Genomic DNA, 25,032 nt, shown 5'->3' on the forward strand with positions numbered 1-25,032 from the left:
CAAATATTTACCACTGTGTTACAATTGCCTACAGAAGGGGTGTCCAATCTTTTGAATTCCCTGGGCCACGTTGGAAGAATTATCTTGGGCCACACATAAAATACACTAACACTAATGATAGCTAATGTACTAAAAAAAAAAAAAAAAAAAAAAACCGTCAAAAAAATCGTAATGTTTTAAGAAAGCTTACAAATTTGTGCTGGGCCACATTCAAACTGTCCTGGGCTGCATGCAGCCCGTGGGCTGCTGATTGCACAAGCTGGGCTTACAATACTCAGCACAGTAACATGCTGTACAAGTTTGTAGCTTAGGAGCAATAGACGATACCATGTAGCCTAGGCGTAGGCCATACTATCTCGGTCTATGTACACTCTATGATGTTTGCACAATGATGAAATCTCTTAATGATACATTTCTCAGAATATATCCCTGCTGTGAAGCGATGCATGACTATAGATGTTTTAAGGTGAATTTCAGAATGACAATTTGGGGATGGGATATTTAAGAAAGCTAATTTGAAATACATTTTGAAATGAATACCAATGTCCAAAAGGTAGCCAGGCACTAGTTTTATGAGAGCAAGTATTGGTTTGATTTGGCAGCACTGTGTTTTGAACCCAAGACTCCAGCCCGAGTATCAGCAACCTTTCCTTGCATCAGAATCACTTGGGATGCTTTTTAACATAGAGGCGCCCAAACTCTATCTCTGAGCTTTTCATTTAATTGGTTTGGTTACAGCCTAGATATTAGTAATTTTTAGAAGATTTCTATATGATTTCAAAGTGTGACTAGGATTAATAATCATCACTACTTTGTCCTTTTCAAAATATAAGTAAGTCCATTATTTCAAAATGACTCATGACAGTTACCAACTCTTCAGATCCCTGGCTGTTCCCAGTCTCATTGCATTGAACCACAGCAGGTCTGATAATTCTTATCATCTGTTTATAATCATTCTGATCCTTCTAATAATCTATTTCTTATTCTGATATGTAAAACCTATAGGAACCATCGTGTTATAAAATATGTTCAAAGTAACACAGTGGCATCTTTGCAAATTGTACCTCCCAGTAGTCAAAGTGGGTTACATAACAAACAGAGGCAAAACATTACCAGTTAACCCTAAAAAGAATCTGCTGTATCTATAGAGATCACTGTTTACACAGAAAGTACTAGTTTCCAATAATATGAAGTAGAGAACTTTTTTAGTGTAAGCATTATGATATGGAAGAGACTGGACAACAGAAAGAAGCACTATATCATAGAATCAACTTTTGAAAAACAGTATGTGTTGTCAAAAAAAGGCATAATATTGAAGCTGTATTTACAGGTTATATAGAAAATGGTCACAGAGGAAACATTGCTGAATACCTACTGAAGTCCAGGTGTAGGAACTTAGTACATGGAATACAAAAGGGCACAAGACTAACCTTTATTCCAAAAAAAAAAAGAAAAAGGAAAAAAAGAAGAAAAGATAGAAGAAAGTAAAAAGGAAAATGGGAAGATTTATTTTCCTTTTCAATTTTGAAGAAAGTTAAAGAAACGAAAACAGGGAAACCATTTGAAACTTACTACTTGCCAACATTACTATTTGATTGAAGTGATTTCATTAGAAAATTCCATTTGAAGTTATTTTCTGTTAATAAATTGATGTGTTTGCAACTGTAAAACATCTTTAAGGTTCCTATAGTTAAGAGTGCCCCACAAAACAGCAGGTATAAAATAAGTAGAAGCTTTAGCAAGAAAAAAAATGTTTAAGAGTAAGGACTATGCTATCCATGTTTCTGTTCAAAGGGGCAATCTGATTATAACCCTATCCCAGATTTGGAAGCTATGAAGGGGTGTGGGGGGAATTTACAGCTGCACAGATTATAGAACAAACTGGCAACAGCACCAGAGGGAGCCAACAAGCTTCATGCCCAGGCAAACAGAGCGGAAAAGGGAGGAGAAGAATGGGAGGAGAGGAAAGAAAATGTTAACTGAAAATGTTTTATGCCAGAAATGTACCAGCATCTTTGTTATTAAACACAGGCTTTGATGATGACACATTTCCCATGTTCATAACTTGTGATTGGTGAGTTACTTTTACATTTATCTTAATGAGATGACACTCTGCTCTGAGATTTTATAAGCCATTTTCCTACCTATGAAACAAACAAAATATTCTTTTCTCTGATTTCATTTCTTCGTTGACCTTGGGAAAGCTAAACAAGAGAATAGTCTTGGTTACGCATTAACCTATGTGTCTGAGGTTGTGTGGAGAAAAGGACTAGTCACGCTTTACTAACGCTGAGGTATTTTTCACCTGGAAAACTCGGTTCAGTGTTTTTGTGACTTTTATTTGTACCTTGAAAAATTAGAAAGACAAATGATGAGAAGTAAATTGTAGGGGGAAGTTCTCAAAAAATGTAAATACATATTCAGCCTTGAAAAATGCATCTGAAATCAATTCCTTTTTGTGGGTGAATAAAAATTAATGGAATGTGATTCATTACGGGCATTAAATATTCAAATTAATGAAGAACATAGCCAAGTAGACACAATTATTGTATTCTTCAGTTATTACCTGCATGCTGCAGTGGACAGAGGAATTTGGAATGTGTCTTTTATTGCTGTCACACTGCTTGGGGCACTGGCTTGGGAATTAAGGATTCATGCCTCTGCATAATGATATATGATTAGCACTGTGAAAGTAATTGAACTCTTCATTCTAGACAATCCTTTGCAGTGTCAGCAAGAAGCTGGAACAAACTGTGTCATTTAACAGAGTTATACTGTGAGAAAAACCTCTGATCTCTGCACAATTAACTTCCTAATAATTTTTAGGTTTTTGAGATCAAATGAGAGAATTAATATAATAGGGCATGTAAATGTGCATCAGAATATAAAGCAACGCAAAGGCACGAAAAGGGATGGAAAATTTAAAGAAATTAATAATTGCTCTCAAATATAATAAGAGACAGGTGTCGAGCTGTTAAAAGGATGATTGTTGTAACCGGAACAGCTGAGGATGGTAAAAGCACAGCTGTTGCGAAGATTAGTTGTATAGTAACAGAGAATACTTGTTTCACTGTGCACTCCACTACACTAAATTGTATTACAACGAGCTCATAAAGTACCATGGAAAGTGAAGTAATCATGATATTGACACCTATTTTACATAATAAAATACTGTAACTCAAACCATTTACCATAATTTTATGTCTTCAAAATTTCACAAACTGGCTTTATTCTTTATGAAGTTTCTCAATTTTCTTCATTAAATGCATAGCATATCTCATCATAATTGTAAGATAACAACAATACAATTACATTATATCACATTAGGATCACATTTTGAAAGCAGTATATTCTCCTTGAGGTTTGCCAGTGCCAAACATTTTATTCTGGGAGTTTAGCTTTATCAAAATGTTATTTTGTTCAGTCCAGAGTAATAAATTGTATTTCAGGTAATTCTGTAAATTCAATGAGTGCCGCTTCTGGATAAGGACTGGATTGTGTTTTTTTTTCAATGTCAGACTCATGCTGACATTCAGGGAAAAAAAAAAGGAGGTTGTTTTATAATTATTCTCAGTTCTTTGTTTGTTACAAACAAAATGATGACTGGGCACGGTGGCTCATGCCTGTAATCCCAACACTTTGGGAGGCTGAGGCAGGAGAATCACCTGAGGTCAGGAGTTTGAGACCAGCCTGGCCACCACGGTGAAAACCCATCTCTATTAAATAAATAAATAAATAAATAAATAAATACAAAAAAAATTAGCCAGGCATGGTGGCTGGTGTCTGTAATCCCAGCTACTTGGGAGACTGAGGTGGGCGAATTGCTTGAACCCAGGAGGCAGAGGTTGCGGTGAGCAGAGATTGCACCATTGCACTCCAGCCTGGGAGACAAGAGCGAAACTTCGTCTAAAAAAAAAAAATCATAACTAACCCCCTTTGTACAGCATAGATCACAGAGCAAAAAAAAAAATTATCAAAATAGAGAAGTGACTGTATTTATGGTTCCCAATGTTATTTCTTTTTTAAAGAGTCTAAGAATAAAAATGAATTTTAGTCACTTATTTTTAACTTCCTAAAATATGTACCTTCCTTGATGGCGCTGGGATTATTCAGTGAGTTTTCTTTTTGGTTCCTAATATTTTGTTTTGATAAATTATAAAATTTCCCTTTCTCACCTGTCTAGTCAACACCATCTCATGTGAGTTACATTCACACTGGCAACTAGATGCTCATTCTACCAAACATGAATTAAAAATGGAAATAATACATTTGAACTGACAAATTGCTTTGCGAATTGATCTCAAGCACCAGTTTTATGCAACTTTGGAAACTTTTCCAGTATTTAATATTTGTTTGATGGCTGCTTAAATAAACATTTTTCACCCTAGCAATATTAAATTGACCAAACACAAGGTATTACACATTTTTTGTTAGTGATGGGAAGAGTTTTGTGTCTGCCTGGATAGACTTAAATAAAATGTTCATCTTTTTACTATTAAAGTTAATTTGATATTATGCAGAATTCAAATGCTTAGAATTTTATTCTTTGGGTTTTGTTCTGCCTTGTTTTTGTTTGTGTGCTTTTGTTTTTTGCTGGAGTAAGTTGGCTATGCAATTAAGCTTCCACTAGTCTTTAATTACTACTGGCCCACTGATTTTGGAGCCAAGATTTGGTAGACACTCTGGGCTGATTTCCTAATAACATTTCTATTTGAATACTCAGAGAGAGACCAGTGTGAAGTGATGATGAATTTTGATAATACTAAGCTGTTCTCCTTATAAAGAGCAAAAAGGAAAAAGCATGCTATTAACTGTGTTAAAGAAAAGTTTAGTAGAACTTTTCCTATATATGCTATTCTACTCTTTCAAGAGCAATTACTTCGCTTACTGTTTCTAAAACCTTAACAAAATTTTACTTATAAGAGAGTGAATGAAATAATTCAATGAAAAATTATATTGTTTCTGCTGCTATGAATGATTGTCAAGGGTGTGTCTTCAGGGTGACATCAGCATTTTGAGATGGTGAATCTGGCATAATTAATAACATGCCACAACCACTTGACTTTTCCATTATCTTTGCAATTGAAATTATATAACTAGTTTCTCTGGATCTTTTGTTTTTTTATCAAAGTTACTGCCACTTAAACCAATGAGCTAAAATGCTTGGAAAGTTTTTAGATCTTAGTATATAAGTTGTTTGTTTACTTACCTTTCCTCCCTGTTTTCTGCCCCATGCTTATACCAAAAATGAGCCAATCCCGCAAGAGTAGGCATTTTTTTCAAGGTTCTATGCCCTGCAGTATTCAACAAATTGCCTTTCATTTAAAGGACTCACAAATAAGTTTAAATGAATTGATCACATGAACACCCATGGAATCCAAGCAAGGGAACAGAAGGTCAAGATAATGCACAGAAACCAAAAAGGAAGATAGTATCCAGAATGCAGTAGGGAAAATAAGTGAGAAACAACAGAAGCCCTAAAAAGTAAAAAGAGGCAGATGGGCTTCAGGATGGTTGCAGCAATTGGAGGATCCAGACAAAGTAAGAGTTTATTTCACTCAATGCCCAAATATTGGTCAAGTGACAGGAAACATAACAAACACTGAGTGACAATGAATAAGACAAACACCTAACCTCCTGCAGGTGTTGCCTTGTGGAAAGCACAGTGAAGGAAATGAACATTGTGCTTCGGTAGATGGTAATGGATGGACAAGGGGTTGACAAGGAGTGGAGTAGGCAGCTAGGATTTCCATGAAGAGATATTTATTTTGAGATCTATTCTTTCCAAAAGTGGAAAAAAATAAATTCCAAGCAGAGTGGACATGTGCCAAATTCCTGAAGTGAGAGAAAGCTTGGAATGTCCAAGGAACTGGAAAAAAAAAAAAAACTCAGTGAGGCTGGAGGACTGAGAAGGGGGGTTGGCAGAAGGAAAATTGACGAAAAAGGTGTGGCAAGGTATTGTAGGGCCTTGAACACCAAGATAAGGATTTCATTACAAGCGCAATGGAAGAATTTCACAACTCTTCCAATTGCATTAGATATCAGTACTTAATTTAACTTAAAGAGGAAATATGTATGTGTAAAACACTTCCTGGTTGTCATGTGAAGATTAAGTGTTAGGGAAACAAGAGTGGAAGTGGGAAGGCCAATTTGCAGGCCATGCAGCATCTCTAATGTGAGATGATGACAGCCTCAATTTGGGCAATGGTGGTGAAGACAGTGAAGCATGGAGCTCTTTGATGATACAGCATTTGCTGAGGAATTGGATGGTGGAGATGGAAATGAGGAAAATAGTGAAACAGCTGAATTTTGGGTTCAAGTCTTGAGAAACTAGATGAAGTTAATGCATTGACTAATATGGGGAATGTAACAAAAGGGAGGGAAAACCGAGTTTGAGTGGGAGTATGAATCAATAGCCCAATTTTAGCTATGTCCATGCAGGGATACCTAAGATGTCCAAGTGGACATGTCTGTCTTATATGCGAATTTGGAGATCAAAGATGCCTTGGCTAAGGGATTTATTTGGAAATCATCTGCACAATATAGCATTCAAAGGAAAGAAAGTGAATGAGGTCATCCAGAGAGAGGAGAAACAAAAGTAAATACCCAAGTACCACCAGCAATCCAGCCATCAGAAATGCCATGACTATTGCTGTAAGGTGTTTTGTCTCTGCCCTAAGAAGAACTTCCTTAGACACTTCTAACTACACTTCCATCTACATGGAACAGGGTAGGTCTTCTCATGGAAACAGGAGATTCATTGATGACTGGCTTGAGGACATATGTAGCTAGAAAATAATAATAGATATTAATAATGTGATGTTTCTGTCTTAGTACTGCCAACATAGCTTCTGGTTAAGAAACACCACCCTATCTTCCTTAAATCTAAAGCACAGTCTGGATATCCTCTTGCTCAGGCCAAGAGGAAGAGGAAATCTTTTCTCTGAATAAACATTCATGCCATACCCCCTCCTGTAAACATCTTAAGATACCTGGCTGCAACTGGTTACAATTACTAATAAAATTTTGGTCTTTTGAGCCCCAAACATCTTTCCCACCCTCCTCTCAGCATGGTTTTCATTCTTTGAACAATATAAAATCTCAGGAATGGATCCAAAATTATTCTGACATAGTTAAAGATGACTGGTAACTTTTAAAATATTACCTCTCCCTGGGGAATTTTCTTTTCAACAAAAAATTTGGAAAATTATGGTTTCATTGAAAATAGGATGGTTGAAATTGAAGCCTTCAGTGGTAGAGTTTCAGATGATTGCCTTCAGGAAAGATGAACCAAGATGGAGAAGGGAAAGAGGGTTTTATGCTTCTGTTGGTAGCGTTAACATTTTCTATTAAACACACACACACACACACACACACACACACATTTTGGAAGCAGGGAATACAGATTTAGCTGAGAAGCCTATCTTTTGTATCATATGCCCTTGGTTGGTATAAAGTCCAGGCATCCTGATTCAAGTGAATTCTGTGTAAAAATAAAAATGAGTTGTCAAGCTTTTACCCAATAAAATTGGTTATGTTTTTCTTTATGAACTGAAAAGTATGTCTATTGTAGCATAAAAATAATAACAACAATTCTTAAGGTTTATTTTATGTTTATGAATTTATTTTTCTCACAGAAAAATTTATTTTTCTCTTTAATAATTGCCTTCAGCACTCTTCCTCCTAGGAGGAACAAAAGCAAGGCACACTAGAAAGTACTAGACTGAAAGTATAGCAGAAACTCTATTAATTGAAACACAGTTCAAGTCAACACAGACAATAAAGCCAGTGGCTGGGGTAAAATTTAACTGACCCGTTCAAGGTTGAGAAAAATCTTCAATCAAAATGTTTCTCTCTCAGTGGATGAAGAGCTCTACACTGAACTGATTTAACGGTGAAACTTACTGAAATACTTCTCACTAGGGAAACATAAGCTAAAACAAAAACAAAGATAGTAAAAACCCACTACAACAGTGGTTAAGAATATGCTTTAAGCTGTATTTTTCTGCTTCAAAGTCTACTACAGGAGAGAGGATTTTTTTAAGTAAAACAAGTCAGATGGACAAAATTAATATTTTTTAAGAGTAATGTTATTCCTCTCTACTGTTATGGTTAAGTTTGGCATTAGATCTAAGATTTTAGACTTCCATATATATAATTTATATTTATGTAAATCTATATATAATTTATATTTATATTATTTTTATATTTATATGATTTATACTTATTTTTATAATATAAAAATTAAAAGGTTCTATATATAAGACATACAAGTAACAATATACAAATAAAACGAGGATTTTTTTACACAAAAGGATATTTATGGTTTGCTCTATTATACTTACTATCAATGTCACTGGCCTGCCTTCAGGGTTAAATCCACCAGTAAGTATTCTGCAGTAAATGAGTTACCATAAACATGGTGTTAACTTGCGCTTCCTGGAAAATGGAAACAAATTTCTCTGGAAGTTGAGGATGTGATTATTCATCATAATGAAGTATCTTCTATTGGCTCCATTTTTGTTTTCTAAGCTCTCAATTATTTTAGCCACAATCACAGCCAGTGCACAGGGTCTCAAGCTGGACACATTAAAATCAATGGGTGGCTCGAAATGATTCAACATGATGTGCCTTTTTCATTTCAAAATGAAGAACAACAAAAATTATCACTTTACTTCTACTGATTCAAGCTGGAAGCAAATCTGATAGGTTCACAAATCCCTCACAAAGGAAGGTTAATAGAAGCCATAATTCTGACACCTTCTCAAATTGTGGGAAGCAAGTCAGAGGCCACACAACAAACCCAGCTCCATTATTAATTTCACACTTGAGTAGTACCACATAGTTAAGCATTCACTGCATGAATTCAAATCACAGCAGACTATTGGTTTCAGTAATAATCAAAAAGGAAAGTTAAGTTTAAAAAAAGATGAAAACTGTAGAATGCAAGGCTTTCTGTCATTAAAAGTCACTTTTACCAAAATATAGATTTATCAGATTTAATCATAATGTTAGTGTACATAATAAAAACTATCAAAGAGGCCAAAATTTTTATTCACCATCTGAGTGAATAAAAGTATGAAAGTAATTTTCCAGATAATTCTATAAGTGACTATTCTTCTTGCCTGAAATCTGAATTAGGGTGAAAGTACTCTCCTCCCTTTTTCTATCCCTAATTGTCATACTATTTTGGCAGTTTGCTCAATTCTTTACTTTGATAGTGCAAATTTCTTGCAGTTATTAAATGTTCTCAAATGATTTCATAATCCCTAGAAAGCTCAGGAAAGCATTGTATGCTTAGAACAAAATATCACCATTCAACAGCAGCCAGAATTATGAAAAAGAAACAATTCTGAATAATCATTTTGTGTGCAGATACACACAAGTTTTTAAAAAATCCTCAAAAGCAACAATGAAGTCAAATTCAAGACAATGACTTTTAGGTTAAAGAGAATTTGGATTTTTTTTTCCTTATAGTTACCTTTTATGCCAGGGCTACATAACAAAAAGTCAATAAAAATTGTTAGCAATCAGCAATTTGATTATAAACTAAATAAATTGTGTCATAATTTCAACAAGAGAGATTACCTGACTACATTCATTTTTTTTCTCTTGAATTCTGTGAAATTTAATTGGACCTTCTAACACCTGATGCTAGTAATTATGTGTCTTGCCTTACTTTGCTACATTCTAACTCTGCATTTCTCAGAATGTAGTAAGTATAAATTTTGGAAATGGTAAGTATATTCATAAGTGAAGCCCTAATATCCACTGTGTTTGGGGTAATATTTTATCAGTTAATGGCAAAAACAAACAAAACAAAAAATTCTAAATAAAAATGATACAAATAACCATTAAAAATAATTAAAATTGATTTTTATTTTAGCAAAAATGCACACATTTACTTACTTTTTTTAACATAGGTCTTTTTGTTAATTACAAATCGGTAGATAAGTATTCCTCAGAAATTCATTATTTAAAATGTTGGGTTTTATTTCTTTAAAGTGGTCCAAGAATATAAAGATACTAGCAAAGCAATCAGAATACAGAAACTAACAGCTGGTATTTTTTATCTCAGTCTTTCGCCTTCTTGCTCATACCTAGAGAGCCTTTTTTAGTAACTTACCATTATCAAGGCTTTTCATAGCATTCAACATGGTTTCATAGAAACAAAAATAACTGTATCAAGATATATAACTGGATACGTACATATATCCTGACATATAAAGAAAATATATATTATAGAATCCTGGAAAAGTATAACCTTCTTATTTCTGTCTGTCCCCATATCAATAGCATAAATAGGTAACTTTATAATTTAATTTGTTCATACTGATTTCTACTCATTTTGACATGTCTAGCAAATCTGTAAGAACTTAAGGATGGAGGGAAGGAAGGAAGGAAGGAGGGAAAGGAAAGGAAGGAAGGAAGGAAAAGAGGGAGGGAGGAAGTCTCAAATGAGTTTAAGCTTCACTATTTTTAACCTGTGTTATAATAGGCAATATCAAATATCATATATACAGGAGTGCTGAACTACACCCAGTTCATGTAGGCTTAAAAGAGTACATTTGTAAATTTGGAAACCAGTTGTTAAATACAGCCATTGCCAAAAATTGGATTATATAAACTTACAATTAAATAAATTACAAAATAAGCAAACGAAGTAATACTCAAAACTTAGTATTTCCCAATTATTTTAATGCATTTCACTATTATGTGTGCTTTTGTAGTTGCTTACATTTATTGCTTCTTTACTGTAAAAATACTTTATAATGATACCCTTCCTAACTGTATGTCCAGTGACATCAAGTTGGTACTTTGAAACTGGACATGTGGGAGTATTTATACTATATAAATCAGCAAATGCAACAAAACAAGTTGCTGTTTTGGGGGGAGGGGGATAGGTATTGAACATTCACAAGTACATAGTTTTATATACGGCATAACATGTAACTAAAAGTTATGTTATAAATATATTTTTGTCATGTTCTTAAGTATTGAAAGTCATTTTTGAAGAGTCAGTTTTCAAGATGTTTCAAAAAGGTAATTTCTAAATGTGCACTGTCCTCAAGAAGAAAGAAGAGTACTTTGGCAGACACAATGGGAAATCAACTCAGATTATACAAAGAAATTTAAAATAATCTGAAAACCAATGGTCTACTCACTATGATATTTAAATAAAGTTAAACATGAAATGAATTGTACTACTTAAATGCTGTGGCTAAGAGCTGAAAACTCAGCAAAATTTCTAGTGCAATGCACAGATTTTGCAACCTATAGGTATAAAATTTTGCACATCAAAAACATTTACAAATAGTATAATATTCTTCTTTTAATAATAGAAGTTATAAAAGCAAAACATTGTGTGCTGGAAAACTCAAGAAATATAAATTCAAAGTTTATTTTGCATTAGATAAGAACTCACGGAAAATAAAGCCAAACCTTTCTAGGCATATGCTATCATTGGGAAATCATCCACTTACATTGGTTGTGGCCTAAAGTCCAGGGTCTTTGACATGTACCCAAAGGTTTATGTCCTGTAAATGCTGTAATCTAATTAAGTAGATGCTCCATTTAAGCATTAATAGCAGAGTGCCTGTTAAAGTCCAGAGGGACAGTAAAAGATGAGCTTAGACTCAGAGAAAAAAGGAGAGTGGAAGAATAATCATCTGAGATTGGAATATTTGTCTGTTACATAGTCCCCCTCCCCATTCCCAGGTCCTTCTAGCCTTTGTCTATAATGGAGGATAGTATTTCCTCAAATCTGAGACAATTATCAAATTATCAATTTTAGATGTACCGTTCATTCATGTGGAGCTAATTTTAAGAAATCATACAATTAAACTGACACAATGCTTTCTTATAACTTAGAATCTTTATTTGATACTTGTTGAAAAATTTAGACATATATGAATATAACACTTTTCAAATATCACTCTCAGGCAATCGTAAAATGAAAATAGAAATAAAAATAAACTGGTAAATAAATTCACAAACTTCTTTGCAGAATCTTACTCTTTTGGATAATTTCCAACAAAAAGTCATTGATAACTCTGTTTTTCCATAAGTCATCCTCGGTGCCATACAGAGTATTGATGATGCTCTTAAAATATGCCCAAATATTGTCTTTGAGGTCTTCTTTCAAGCTTCCAACATCCTTTGAGTTTTGGTGTTAGTGTTTTCTTGATCTTAATTAATTCTGACAATGGAAAAGTTTGGGTAACAGTCAAAAGACATAAACTTTCCTATTAATGCTCTCAAATAGTTTATGATTGAGATATCAAAGTTTTTATTTGCCATATGGTACAGAAGCAACAGACAAGGCCAAGCATGGGCGGGAAATAACATATCATCACTTCCACCCGATCAGAGTCCATTTTAAGATTCCATCAATCATAAGACACGTCCCAACTTCCGAAAAATTAAAATGCAGAAAATATGCAGCCTAGAATCAATAAAATTAAGTGTTCAAGCTGCCCCAAGTTAACTTGGGCAAGCAGAGTTAGGAATTTTGACACAATTGTTAAGTCATTAGACTGCTGATTAATTTAATCTGTCTGTCTATGTGACTTTCCCTTTCATAAGAACCCATCCTTCCTGCCCTCATAATCCATTACACTGAAGTCACCTACATTGCCCTCTATGCCTGGGTCTAGAGTTTGTAATATCAGCAAATTTTGCTCTCCGAATTTCTCCTCCCTTCATGAAGGACACTTTGTAAACCACTTCTCTCAGAAAAGGATCCAATATTTCTTTATACCAAGCACTGAAACACATAATAAAATACTATCCAATTTAAAGTTAAAGGTCTATATCTCTTCTCTAGGACCAGAGGATAGATGAGTTTCAGAATTCTAAGTTTTTTTAAAAAAGTCATAAAGATTATACAGCACATGTACCATATCCTACGTAACCCCAGTGGGGTCTAGAGTGGCACTCTGAAATCAAACTCTAACGTTTCTACACCAAAATGTATAAATAGTAATATTAAAAGGGATAAAGTTTCTTGTAAAAGAAAAATATAGGGCACAATAAAATTTTAAAGAGTTTATTTGAGTAAGAAATAATTCATGAATTGGGGAACACCAGACTAAATGAAGTTTAGTGTTCCAATGACACAGCTTCAGAGGCAAATATTTATAGGGTGAATAAGAAAACAAAACAAGTTATTTGACTAGTGGCAGTTACAAATTGCTTTTTATGGTTTACCTTGTTGGAAAGTCCCTAGTCACATAATCATATCTTAGTAGACTGCTCATGATTGGCTAGGTTAAGTTTTGTCTCTGTATAACATAAGCATTTACCCAAAAAGATCCGAGTTAACTTTTGCTTATGTTTGCAACTTAAGCAAGGCTAAGGCTCTCTTTAAAGCCTTGTTGGTTTTGTTTGGTAAGGCATTCTTCAGGCAGTCTCCATTTTAATCTTGCTTTAACATTATCAATGACATCCCTTAAATTCAAGCTGGATTTTGCCACCAAATTAGACCAGATCAGGTGAATTTTGCTGCCAAGTAGGTTACACAAATCTATTACTTTTCCAAACTAATGGAATTTGGAATTGCAGATATGGTGTTGTGGACATATATTAGACACAAAGAATCTAGGTTTTGCAAAGAGTTTTAGACATGAGAAAAAAGTGAATTATATTTTAGAAAGATGGAGAAAGCAGTAGTTTTTCTCAGTTCCCCAGTAACTGCATCACATTTAGAGAAATGGACAATATCCACAGCTAAGGTTCACCTAGTTGCTCTAAAAAGTTTCCTCACCTCGTCATCTTCCTCCTTAAATATCCTTATCTCAGCAATGGCATCATGAACCATCAATTGTTCAAACCAACCACTGTATAGCTGTCCTTGGTTCCTTTTTGATCCTTCTTCACATAACCTATCATGAAGTCTATCAATTCTGCTTCCAGAGTATTCTCTTCTACGTCATAGGACCTATAACATCCTCTCCATTTCTGTAGCTACTACCTCAATCCAAGTGCATCATGTTTTCCCTGAATTAAAATAACTTCCCAATCAGTCTTCTGTTTACATCCTTATCTCCCTGCTGCCATTCTGCATGTAGCAACCAGCGTCATTGTTCAGTCAAAAATCAGATGATCTCATTCCCCTGTTTAAAAATTTCAAAACTCTTAAAATGACTAAAAAAGCTTTTAATGACCCAGCCTTTTCCTCCCACTCTACCTTCACTTACTGCGGTTTCATTGCTCTCATCAACTTTCTTTCTGTTTGGCAAATAAGTAAGCTCCTTCTTCCTTTAGAGCCGTTTGCATTTCCTGCTTCCTCAAGGACACAGCTGGAGACATTGATTCCCAGCCTTTGCCTTGCTGGTTTCTTCTGGGTCTTCAGTTGTCAGTGAAGATATAAATCCCTCAGCCATGACTTCTCTGGTTTCCAAACTAAAGTACATTTAATTCCCAAGCCCTCAGGCACGACCCTAGTTGATTTTCTTCAAAGTATTTGTTATTATTTGAAGTTATATTGACGAATTGTTTGCTGACTTATTTATTGGTCTGTCTTTGCCTTCTAAAATGTAAGCTCCATATAGGCAAGGACTGTTCACCAGTGTGTCGCTGCTGCCCAGAACATTGTCTGGCACACAGCAGAGGCTCATTGAATATAATTCAAGCACAGAATCAAAGCCAAGTAATTGATAGTTTAACATACTCATTTTATTATTGCAGTCATTCACATTACTTGTGTTCCTGGTCCACCTAGGGTGTGCTCAGATTAGAGTGGTCTGTGGATATTTCAGAGAATAATGATGTGTCCAGAATATGAGACACATTTTTTATGTCTGGTATTTTTTTGTTGTTGTTAATTTGATATTTTGCCTACCTAAATCAGTACTGTGGGTCTACAACTTGGATTACATTTAATGAGGGTTTGTATAAGAACTCTATGTGTGTGTGTGTGTGTGTGTGTGTGTATCTATCTATAGATAGATAGATAGATAGATAGATAGATAGATAGATAGATATTTTTTAAAATATTTTATCCTTTTAATCCTCTGAAGAGAATAAGTGACCGGCCCAATGTCTCATAGCTAAAGTGTAACCACACCTAGTTTAAATTCCACATTATTCAGAGTACAAATGTAAAGAAATGAATGTAATTATTCATTTTTAAACAAATTTAACCTTCTGTATGTAGATGATTTAAATGCAATTTTGGAAATAATGCTGTTCTATAGCGAATGAAAAGAAGTGGTTATTTGAGCTCTATGGATTTTGAAGAACATGGAGAAAGAAGGGTTTATTGTGTCTTTAAATCAGAAAGATTATCTTCTTTGTGGAAAAGCTCCAGAAGCTGGAGTCTCCAGATTTATTTCCTGTTACGCTCAGAGAAGATTTAAATAAAGTAAGAAAATCCTCTCATGAAAACAGCCTGGTTTGCAAGGCTATCATTTGGATAAGGACACCAAAAATCTGCCTTCCCCTACAGTCTTGACCTCAAGGAAGATGTATTTTCAGTATAAAATTTAATGTTTTGGTTTAAAATTTGTAGGAATATTAACCTTCTTTTGGTGAAGAAAGTCCAGATTATCTATCAGGATAAAACAATCTTATGTAATCCAATGGAAACTATAAGAAGAAGATGTTTTGCAAACAAATTGCTAATATGTGAGTCATTTGACTAGACCAACAGGGTGACAAAGCTGAAAGCTTCAAACTATCTCATGGGCTATTTATGCACTTATTTAAAGACCACCCTGCTATATTGGGTAAAATAACATTGTCTTATTTTCTCATTTATTTATTATGTTGCAATAAAGTGTATGTTTCCTCAAAAATAACATTCACACACCAAGAAATAGAATTTTAAATCAGAAAGTTGTCTTGAGGTTTATTTTCAACTCTTCTTGTCAACACTTCTCAATGCTAACTAGATTTAGTGAAACTTCTTTTATAAGCATGTGAAGACCTTATAAGCAATGACTATCCCTGCTAATATTAACAACAAAGTCTGGGGCGTGATTGTAAATGACTCTTCATATGCCAAAAGTATTTTATTTTTTGAAGTGTCAAACGCTTTTCTTAACTAGCAAATAAAAAATCATATATATTTATTGTGTACATGTTGTTTTGAAACATGTATACATTATAGAATGGCTACATAGAGCTAATTAATGTATGTGTTACCTCACATGCTTTTTTTTGTGGTCAGAACACTTAAAATCTACCCTCATGGATTTTCAATAACACAACACATTGTTATTAACTGTAGTCACCATGTGACAGTGCGTCTCTTTAACTTATTCCTCCTAAATGAAATTTTGTGTCCTTTGATCAATATCTCCTCTACCCCTGCCTCCAGCCCTTGGTAACTACTGTTCTACTCTCTACTTTCAAATCCTTCTTTTATTGCTGGCTTTACACAATGGCTATAATCATTCCAAGAAGCGACTTCAAAGAAGCCATTTCAAAAAACATTGCCTAAACTAATTTTAAAATAAAGTTGTTGTAAGTTATTAAAAAAGAAACAATACATGCTAAGTATAGAAAATTTAGGACTAGAGAATTGTTATTCAAAACATTTCTCTCTTCATGTTTATTTAAGAAATTATATAATGCCAAAGAATAAATATTAATTTTCTGAAAGACATCTAAACCATCCAGATATAATATAATCATGGTCATATCAAAATTATTCTATCCATGATCATAACCATAGAGAAGAAAAAACCCATACTTGTAAGTTCTTTAATGGTTGTACTGACTTTATTTATACAATGATGGCATCATCCATCTTTCACTGTATATTATTTCAGTGACCTTTCAGTAACTTGATTTTAAAGATCTTTGTTTCCCTATATCTCAGTCTTCTTCAAGGCCAGTACACATTGGAGGGAAAGCTGTTTTTGCAAGAGGTGCAGTTTGTGACTGATATAGGCAGGCAAATCAGCCTGAATGGGGCTTATTTTGAGTCCAAGCCTGTTGACTGAAAGAGAGAGGGCTGGAATTTAAGCAGCACCCACCATAAACTAGGCTATGTCTTTCATCAGCATATCAAGAAAGAAGCTTGGAGGCTCAACTCCTTAAGTTCCTCTACAGAGAGGGTACCACTGACATTCCTCATTGCATTTAATCTCATTAATAATTATCTCCTGTTTGTTAAGTTCTGTTATAGACCTCATGTTCCACATAAAGATACTGAGGCTCAAACAGTCAGTGAATGGTGGGCAAGGGTTTGAATCAAAGACTCTGGTTGCAGGCTCATTCTGTTTGTCATACTTCCTGGCGAGGGAGGGTGACTCACGCCTCTAATCATAGAACTTTGGGAGGCCAAGGTAGGGCCAGTCACTTGAACCCAGGAGTTCCAGACCACCGTGGGCAACATGAGGAAACCCCATCTCTCCAAAAAAACACAAAAATTAGCTGGGTGTGGTGGCATGCCTGTGGTCCCAGCTACGAGGGAAGCTGAGGTGGGAGGACAGCTTGAGCCTTGGAGATTAAGGCTGCAGTGAGCCAGGATTGCACCACTGCACTCCAGCCTGGGCGACAGAGTGAGACTCTATCTCAAAATAAATAAAATAAAAATAAAATAAAATAAATACTTCCTTTCCAAGCACTAGAGAACTGAGAGATTTATATACAGTTAAAAGGGCCAAAGCAGTGATTTTCAACTATTTTATGAATAAATAATGAAATCTCTGTGTGTGTGCGCATGCATGAATGTATACAGAAAGAACACGTGAAGATAGACAGAGATACACAGATGGTTTTGGTAGAAAACACCAAGCTTTAAGAACAAATGTAAATATAAAGATTAAAGAACTTAGGATTAATACCATGATTGCTTATTCAGAAAAGAGGATTTTTTTTCCTGTAAATTTCATTACTTGAAATCATTTCTCAAAAAGCATTTAGATCATCCTTTATTCATATTAAGAGGAATTAATTGCTTTTCATTTCAATTTATTTTTTCTTCAAGTTAGCCAGTTTTTTCCCTAGTATTATAGATTCATGCTTCATAGACAAGATTAACTTTTTTAAAAAAAAAGTTTAAGTTAGCAACAAGAAGGGTATGAAATGATTAAGAGCTTGAACTTTTTCCTTAGATTTCCTGGATTCAAATCAACTGCACCTCAGATTTCAGATTTCTCTCCTGTAAAATGAAAGTTGTAGTGATTAAATGAGAAGATACAAATAAAGCACTTAAGATACCTGATAAACATTAAATTATAGCTCTTACATCAAAATAACATGCAGAAGTGAGCATTTAAATGTCTTAGATAACAAAGATGCTTCAATTATCAACAATTCATACTAGACCCGCATTGGATTGTTGAATCAATTCTCCAGTGAATAAAGTATTGATTGCCAATCTCCCTAAATTTTCAAATAAGGGTTTTTAAAAAAATGAATCATATTCTATGGGCACAAATGCTCTTTGCCTCTCTATCTTGAAACCACACACCACACCACTCATGAATCACTTGAATCAGTCATTTGGAAGTGTCAAACCAGCATAACACAATCTAACAGTGTTTGTAATGTTACATCTTAAAAGATTTATCCATAAACAGGCAACATAGAATCATAACAAGCATCTTCCATTTTGTACATAAAGTATGGGTATTTTGGCAATTTGAGAAGAACTATAGGTGGGGCATTTTGCTTCTCAGATTACTGGTTTAGTGAGGGCTAGGCTAAGTATAATAGCGTTGAACAATTTATGCCCAGGATCTCAAGAATAAAACTGTATTGCCCCGAGTGGTAGCCCCAAAGCAGTTAGCAATTAGCAATTCTGAGCCTAGGGTTCTTTCTCTGCTTTCTAACCTCTTGCTGTTATTTGCCTGAGAGTGCTCAAGTCTGCTGATGACTGGCACGTCAAGTTAGAATGAATAAGTGGCAGACTCCATTCCTGAAACCTGTGGCATCTGGGTGGAATCCGGATTGCCAACATGGCTCAGCTGATTTTGCATGTGCAGCTAGAACTTCCTTATGTAATAATCTGAGGGACTTCACGTTACAATGTAACTATTGTAACATGTACCTGTGTTCCTTGCTCTGTGTGATTAACTCAATCCTGAGAAGAGTTGGGTTTGTTCTTAGTTGTCAGTAATAAAGGAATTACTTTAAGTGCTTAAAGGGATTTCTGAGACCATATGTATGGTAACGCAATGTTATATTGATGAAGCACGGATTCTGACTCATTTATGGATACCTAAGATGGGCCATAGACGTTGAAGAGCTCAATAACTATCTGTTGCTTGATGACTGAGTGAAGAAATGTATAAGGCAAAGCCTGGAAGTGAGTGAGTTAGGCAGGAAAAAGAAAAAATCTGGGTGTAGGTGGAAAGAAAGAAAGAAAGAATTAGGTACCTATTAGGTTAGTAGATCAATATGTTGTCAAAAGTTACAGAAAATTAAATACTCAACAAATTCCACACACATTTACGGCCACCTTCATGCGTTAGTTCACTGTTTCCCACACATCAGTCATTTGTTTAGTTCCTTCACAATTTGTCATATTGAAGCAATACCTACGTGTTATTTTCCTTTAAATGAAACTTCAATCAATGGATCTTTTTTAAATGCGGCCCATTCTACACAGTATCACCTGCTAGATGATGGGTTTGGTGCTCTCAGTGCTTGTCATACTTTTTTTTTTTTTTTTTTTTTTTTTTTTTTTTTTTTAGGCAGTGTTTCACTCTTGTTGCCTGGGCTGGAGTGCAATGGTGCAATCTCGGCTCACTGCAACCTCCACCTCCTGGGTTCAAACAATTCTCCTGCCTCAGGCTCCCAAGTAGCTGGGATTACAGGCGCCTGCCACCATGCCTGGCTAATTTTTTGTATTTTTAGTAGAGACGGGTTTTCACCATATTGGCCAGGCTGGTCTTGAACTCTTGATCTCAGGTGGTGATTCACCTGCCTCAGCCTCCCAAAGTGCTGGGATTACAGGCATGAGCCCCCGTGGCCACTTATCATACTTTGATGTGAGCTCAAGTCACCTGGGATAAAGCTAAAATGATTTTGATGCCATCAGTCTGGGTTGGGGCCATTTCTGCATTTCTCACAAGTTCTCAGATGAGTCTGAGAACCACATTATGAATATCAAGATGCCACATACATATTCTAATAAACACTTAAATATTTAACTAGCAACATTTTAAAATTTATCTTCATATCAAGTAAAATTGTTTCATATACCCCATCAGTGGTAAATTCAATGATATAAATACAAACACTCTACTGAGGTTAAAAAAAATTAAATTTCCTTTGCTCTCTGGGAATTCACTGCCAAGAAGAAAGATAATTATGTAAGAAATCAAAGTAACATGTGCTATGGGCTATTCTAGAGCTCTGTACAAAATGCTCTGAGAAAATCCTAGAAATTTGGGGAAAACCATGGAAAAACTGTGTCTCTGAGCATGAAAATAATGGTAGTATGTCTTTTGATAGGAAAGAACTAGTTGGAGGGGTTGGAGGGGTAGGAGGGTCAGGGGAGCCCAGAACCTGGGCTGTCTCCTGCCTGCCCCTACAGTTGTGAAGACTGTGCCCCATGCAATGGAACCCAGCCGAGGGCTGCATGGGTGTGCCACTTGTCCATTTCTGCAGACCTTCAGAAGACTGCACTGGCCTGTGTATTAGTCTGTTTTCATGCTGCTGATAAAGACATACCCGAGACTGGGAAGAAAAAGAGGTTTAATTGACTCATAGTTCCACGTGGCTGGGAAGGCCTCACAATCATTGGCGGAAGGCAAGGAGGAGCAAGTCACATCTCACATGGATGGGAGCAGGCAAAGAGAGAAATTGTGCAGGGAAACTCCGCCTTATAAAATCATCAGATCTCATGAGACTTCTTCACTATCATGAGAATAGCAGAGAAAGACCTGCCCCCATGATTCAATTACCTCCCACTGGGTCTCTCCCACAATATGTGGGAATTCAAGATGAGATTTGGGTGGGGACCCAGCCAAACCTTATCAGCCTGGAAGGGGGCATCATTTTGGTATCATCCGTCCCCAGATGGAGAAAAGGTAGCTTTTTCGGCATTTATCTTCCTGGAAGAGGCTCCCTCTTCTTATTCATCTTCCTGGGGGGGGAAGGGGTTGGGCATCTTTATTCTAATTTGCACAGACATCATAGAGCTGCTTCCCTGAACTATTTCCTTCCTACCAAAAGACATCCCATCCTTATTTAGTGCCACACACTGTGAATTATGTGCTTAATTTCTTGTCAAATGGGGTTCAATTCTATTCTCCTTTCCCAACTTTCTATCCCATTAGCAGAAGGTAAGAGGATGGATCGTTTAGGTGAGGAGAGGAGAGGATGAGAAAGCCCTAGTTCCAGCTCTCAGAGATTCTTGGCCTTTCTTTAGTATTCTCTTTACCTTCTGTCACAGGCAGGATAATGGTCCCCCGGAGATGTTCATGTTCTAATCCCCTGAACTTGTCAATATGTTGTGTTACATGACAAAGGAGAATTAAGGTTGAAAATGGAATTAATGTTGTCAACTGACTGACCTTAAAATAGGGAGAATATCTTAGAATATCCAGATGGACCAGCTGTAATCACAAGGCCCCTTAAAATGGAAGAAGTCTTGAACTGCCAGCCTCAAGCAATCCTCCCAGCTCAGCCTTCCAAAGTGCTGGGATTACAGGTGTGAGGCACTGCACCTGGACTAAGATAAATTACTATAAAGTAATATCTGTAAAAAAAAAAAAACAAAAAGTCAATATATATATAAACTAAGAATTTTCCAATTTTCTTTCTCAGAGAGAAAACTGGCAATTATTATTTCAAATGTATTTTATTAGCCTATATTTATGTGTTAATTTGAAAAAATAACAGCTTGAGTTCAAGCTGGTATCAGTTTTTTTAAAATTCCTACTAATAAGGCAATAATTTAACCAGATATCATAAGCATATATAAAAACAAAATATTTTGCCATTAGAGGCCTGCACACACCCTCAGTGATATGCTCAACAACTTCTTGAATATTTTCTTCAACACCTAAAATTAATTACTACACAATTATAATTTGTTTCCATGTTATACCTTGCCTCATATAAGTTCAAAAAACTATCAAACAATAATGCATATGATTAATAGCACTAACAACAACTAAAATAACCATAACAATATTTCAGTAAGTTCAATACATTTTGAGACATTACTAATTGTGTCAATAACATATTACTGTGATAATTCCTAATATGTGTCTAGAAAGCCTTGTTAATTCATTTGGCTTAGAGTTAATAAAATGAACGCTATTTCTTTGGGGCGGGGGAAGCAGGAGAGGGAAGCAGGAGAGGAGGTCAGATGGTGTGATATGAGAAGGACTCCACACTCCTGGCTGGGGGAAGGGGCCGTAAGCCAAAGACTGCAAGCAGCCTCTAGAGGCTAGGAAAGTAAGGAAGTGGATTTTCTCCTAGAACAGTGATCCCCAGCCTTTTTGGCACCAGGGACCAGTTTTGTGGAAAACAATTTTTCCACGGACTGTGGAGGGTGGATGGTTTCAAGACGGTTCAAGCGCATTACATTTATTGTGCACTTTATTTCCATTATTATTATGTCGTAATATATAATGAAATGATTATACAACTCACCATAAAGTATAATCAGTCGGAGCCCTGAGTTTGTTTTCCTGCAACTAGATGGTCCCATCTGGGGGTGATGGAAGACAGTGGCAGATCATGAGACATTAGATTCTCATAAGGAGTGTGCAACCTAGATACACAGTTCACAATAGGGTTTGGGCTCTTATGAGAATCTAATGCTGCTCTGATGTGACAGGAGGTGGAGCTCAGGCGGTAATGCCAGTGGAGCGATGGGGGAGCAGCCTTCAGTACAGATGAAGCTTCTCACCTGCCCGCCACTTACCTGCTGCTGTGCAGTACAGTCCGTGGCCCTGGGGCTTGAGGACCCCTGTCCTAGAACCTCCAGAAGTAACACAGCCTTGACCAGACCTTGATTTTAGCCCAGTTAGACCCACATCAAACTCCTGGCCTGTAGAATTCTAAGATAATAAATTTGTGTTGCTTTAAGCCACTAAATGTGTGGTAATTCAGAATAGCAGCAATAGGAAACCAATATGACCTCTCGAGACCCAGAGACCCCTCTGTTTTGCCTCTTTCTGTTTCCAGGATGCTGCTCTTTCCTGGCTACATCTCCTACTTTTCCTTCACAGTCTCTTTTTCTGGCTTCTCTTTATCTCTAAAAATTGGTTCTTCTCCAGATTATGCAGTTACTTCCCTTTTCTCACTCTACGGGAATCACAAATTTGCTGGACACGGCCCAGATTCAGATTTCGGATATGTTTTCCTTGGCCTACACGGTGTTTTTTCACAAGCCAAAGTGAAATGCATTTAGGCGAAGCATGCGTCCTCTAGACTTCCATAACTCACACTACTCCATACTGTATTTTACCTGGCCTTCTTCCCTCATTTACATTATTTGCTTTGTCCCTAAATGTTTTGAGTTGAGGATTCTTCTTCTACAACATACATATGTAATGAGATGTTAAGATGTTACTTTGAATAGGATTCATGGGTCACATAAGTTTAGGAAATGCCGTTAGACAAAGGTGGGTTGTTATATGTCAAGAATTAGGAGCCTCGATTATGCTAATTATCATATATCTGCATAGATAGAGTACATACATGCACACAGTATGCATCTGTATATAGCATTCAGCATATCCCAAACTTATATCCCTATGGGACTTTAACTAGTGTGGCATCTTTAGGTTGGATGCTCCAAGTGTGCACATTGAGATATGTTGTTCAATACTCTCTTTTCATCTGTTTCCATTAACCAGCACTTACAAAGTATCAACTACATGGTACACACTGTTGTAAGTACTTTCATACATATAAGATGACTTACAAAACTGATATGATTGATAGCAGGCACTGTTTTTATTCTTATTTTACAGGTGAAGAAACAGCTGAGGCCTAGATAAGTTATGTGCCCAATGCCACACAGCTAGAAAGCTACAAAGCTGAAGTTTGAACCCAACTCATCTTGGTCCAGAGTCTGTGCACAGAAGTCCTCATACATCCAGCACTCAGCCTGCTCTTGAGCAAAAGGTACATGTCCAACTTAAGAAAGCGTTTACTACTAGAGATCGCTGAAAAAATCATAAGTCATTTCAATCAGGTTGAATGCACTGCCCCAGAGATGTTCAAGAAGAGGTTCAAGGACTTCTTAGGACGGAGTTTTATGAGAGGCACCAACATTGAAGACATCAAATCCAATTGTAAAGTCCTTCCAAATGGAAGATTGTAAAAGCATCTAAAGGTCTATTCTGGATGGGAAGATAACATGGGCAAAGGTAATGACTATCTGGGAGGAGCAGACCAGTATGGCTGTAATGAGAAATTCATGGAGAAGAGTGGTTTCCAGTAATGCTGCAAAAATCGGCTAGAATCAGATTGCGAGAGACCCTGAATGTCAGCAAAATCGGGTTTTGGTCTTAATCCTCTTAATCCTTTAACTGATGGGAAGACTTAAAGAGTTCCTCCTCTGGAAAGTGATAAAGTTTTGCCTTTTTTTTTTTTTTCTAGTTTGGAGTTTTTTGTTTTGTTTTGTTTTTGATACAAAGGGTATGAAGTAAATTAATCAGATGACATTCTTGATCTACTGCGAATGACTCAGTCAAGCCTCTTTTGCATCTTCTCTTCCTCCCACTGTCCACAAGGTGGCACCAGAACTCAAAATCAGAACTCCCTGGAAGGTTGTCTAACTGTTCCAAGCCTTTCCTGTAGGATGACTCCTATAAAGATACTTTTGAGGTGAACATGTCAAAATATATTTTTATTAACAATTTTTAATCGGCCTCTTCATTCACTCTGGTGTATTTTTCCAGGAGTTAACAATTTTCGTCTTAACTGACTGCAACGTTCTGAAGAACTTCTGGGGACTGTGCCAGTTTAGAGACTATTGTAGACCAAAATCATAAACAACACATCCTACAGAAAATGCTAATGATCAACTGGACGTTGATACAGTGGAATTTGTTCGACCCTCGATGACTTCCAGAAGGGGGGAGCTGTTCTAGTTCACAAGATGGAGAG

At 36.0% G+C, this 25,032-nt stretch overlaps 3 long non-coding RNA genes across 3 annotated transcripts in view, besides 1 other annotated feature; 1 reads left to right on the forward strand and 2 right to left on the reverse strand.

Moving 5' to 3' along the window:
• Positions 1 to 1,888: 1,888 nt before the first annotated feature.
• LOC105370312 (uncharacterized) lies at positions 1,889 to 24,977 on the forward strand. The gene is made up of 3 exons (XR_931639.3): positions 1,889 to 2,074; positions 23,892 to 24,750; positions 24,825 to 24,977. It is a non-coding gene; the product is annotated as an uncharacterized LOC105370312 (long non-coding RNA).
• Positions 11,857 to 17,302, reverse strand: LOC124903187 (uncharacterized). Its single transcript, XR_007063829.1, has 2 exons — positions 14,199 to 17,302; positions 11,857 to 12,199 (listed from the first exon to the last, which is right to left on the reverse strand). It is a non-coding gene; the product is annotated as an uncharacterized LOC124903187 (long non-coding RNA).
• Positions 14,003 to 14,537: an enhancer, noted in NCBI's record as "NANOG hESC enhancer chr13:91776003-91776537 (GRCh37/hg19 assembly coordinates)". NCBI's record gives its function as "activates a minimal SCP1, AML or CMV promoter by ChIP-STARR-seq in naive H9 embryonic stem cells {active_cell/tissue: H9 hESC(naive)}" and the evidence as "EXISTENCE:reporter gene assay evidence [ECO:0000049][PMID:30033119]".
• Positions 17,867 to 25,032, reverse strand: part of LINC00379 (long intergenic non-protein coding RNA 379) — an 84,086-nt gene continuing 76,920 nt past the window's right edge. The window contains exons 3-4 of the long non-coding RNA NR_047004.1: positions 21,477 to 21,661; positions 17,867 to 18,112 (exon numbers count right to left, since the gene is read on the reverse strand). This is a non-coding gene — a long non-coding RNA (long intergenic non-protein coding RNA 379). The remainder of the gene's footprint in view (positions 18,113 to 21,476; positions 21,662 to 25,032) is intronic.

The sequence above is a fragment of the Homo sapiens genome, chromosome 13 (genome assembly GCF_000001405.40).
Source record: "Homo sapiens chromosome 13, GRCh38.p14 Primary Assembly".
NCBI lineage: Eukaryota > Metazoa > Chordata > Mammalia > Primates > Hominidae > Homo > Homo sapiens.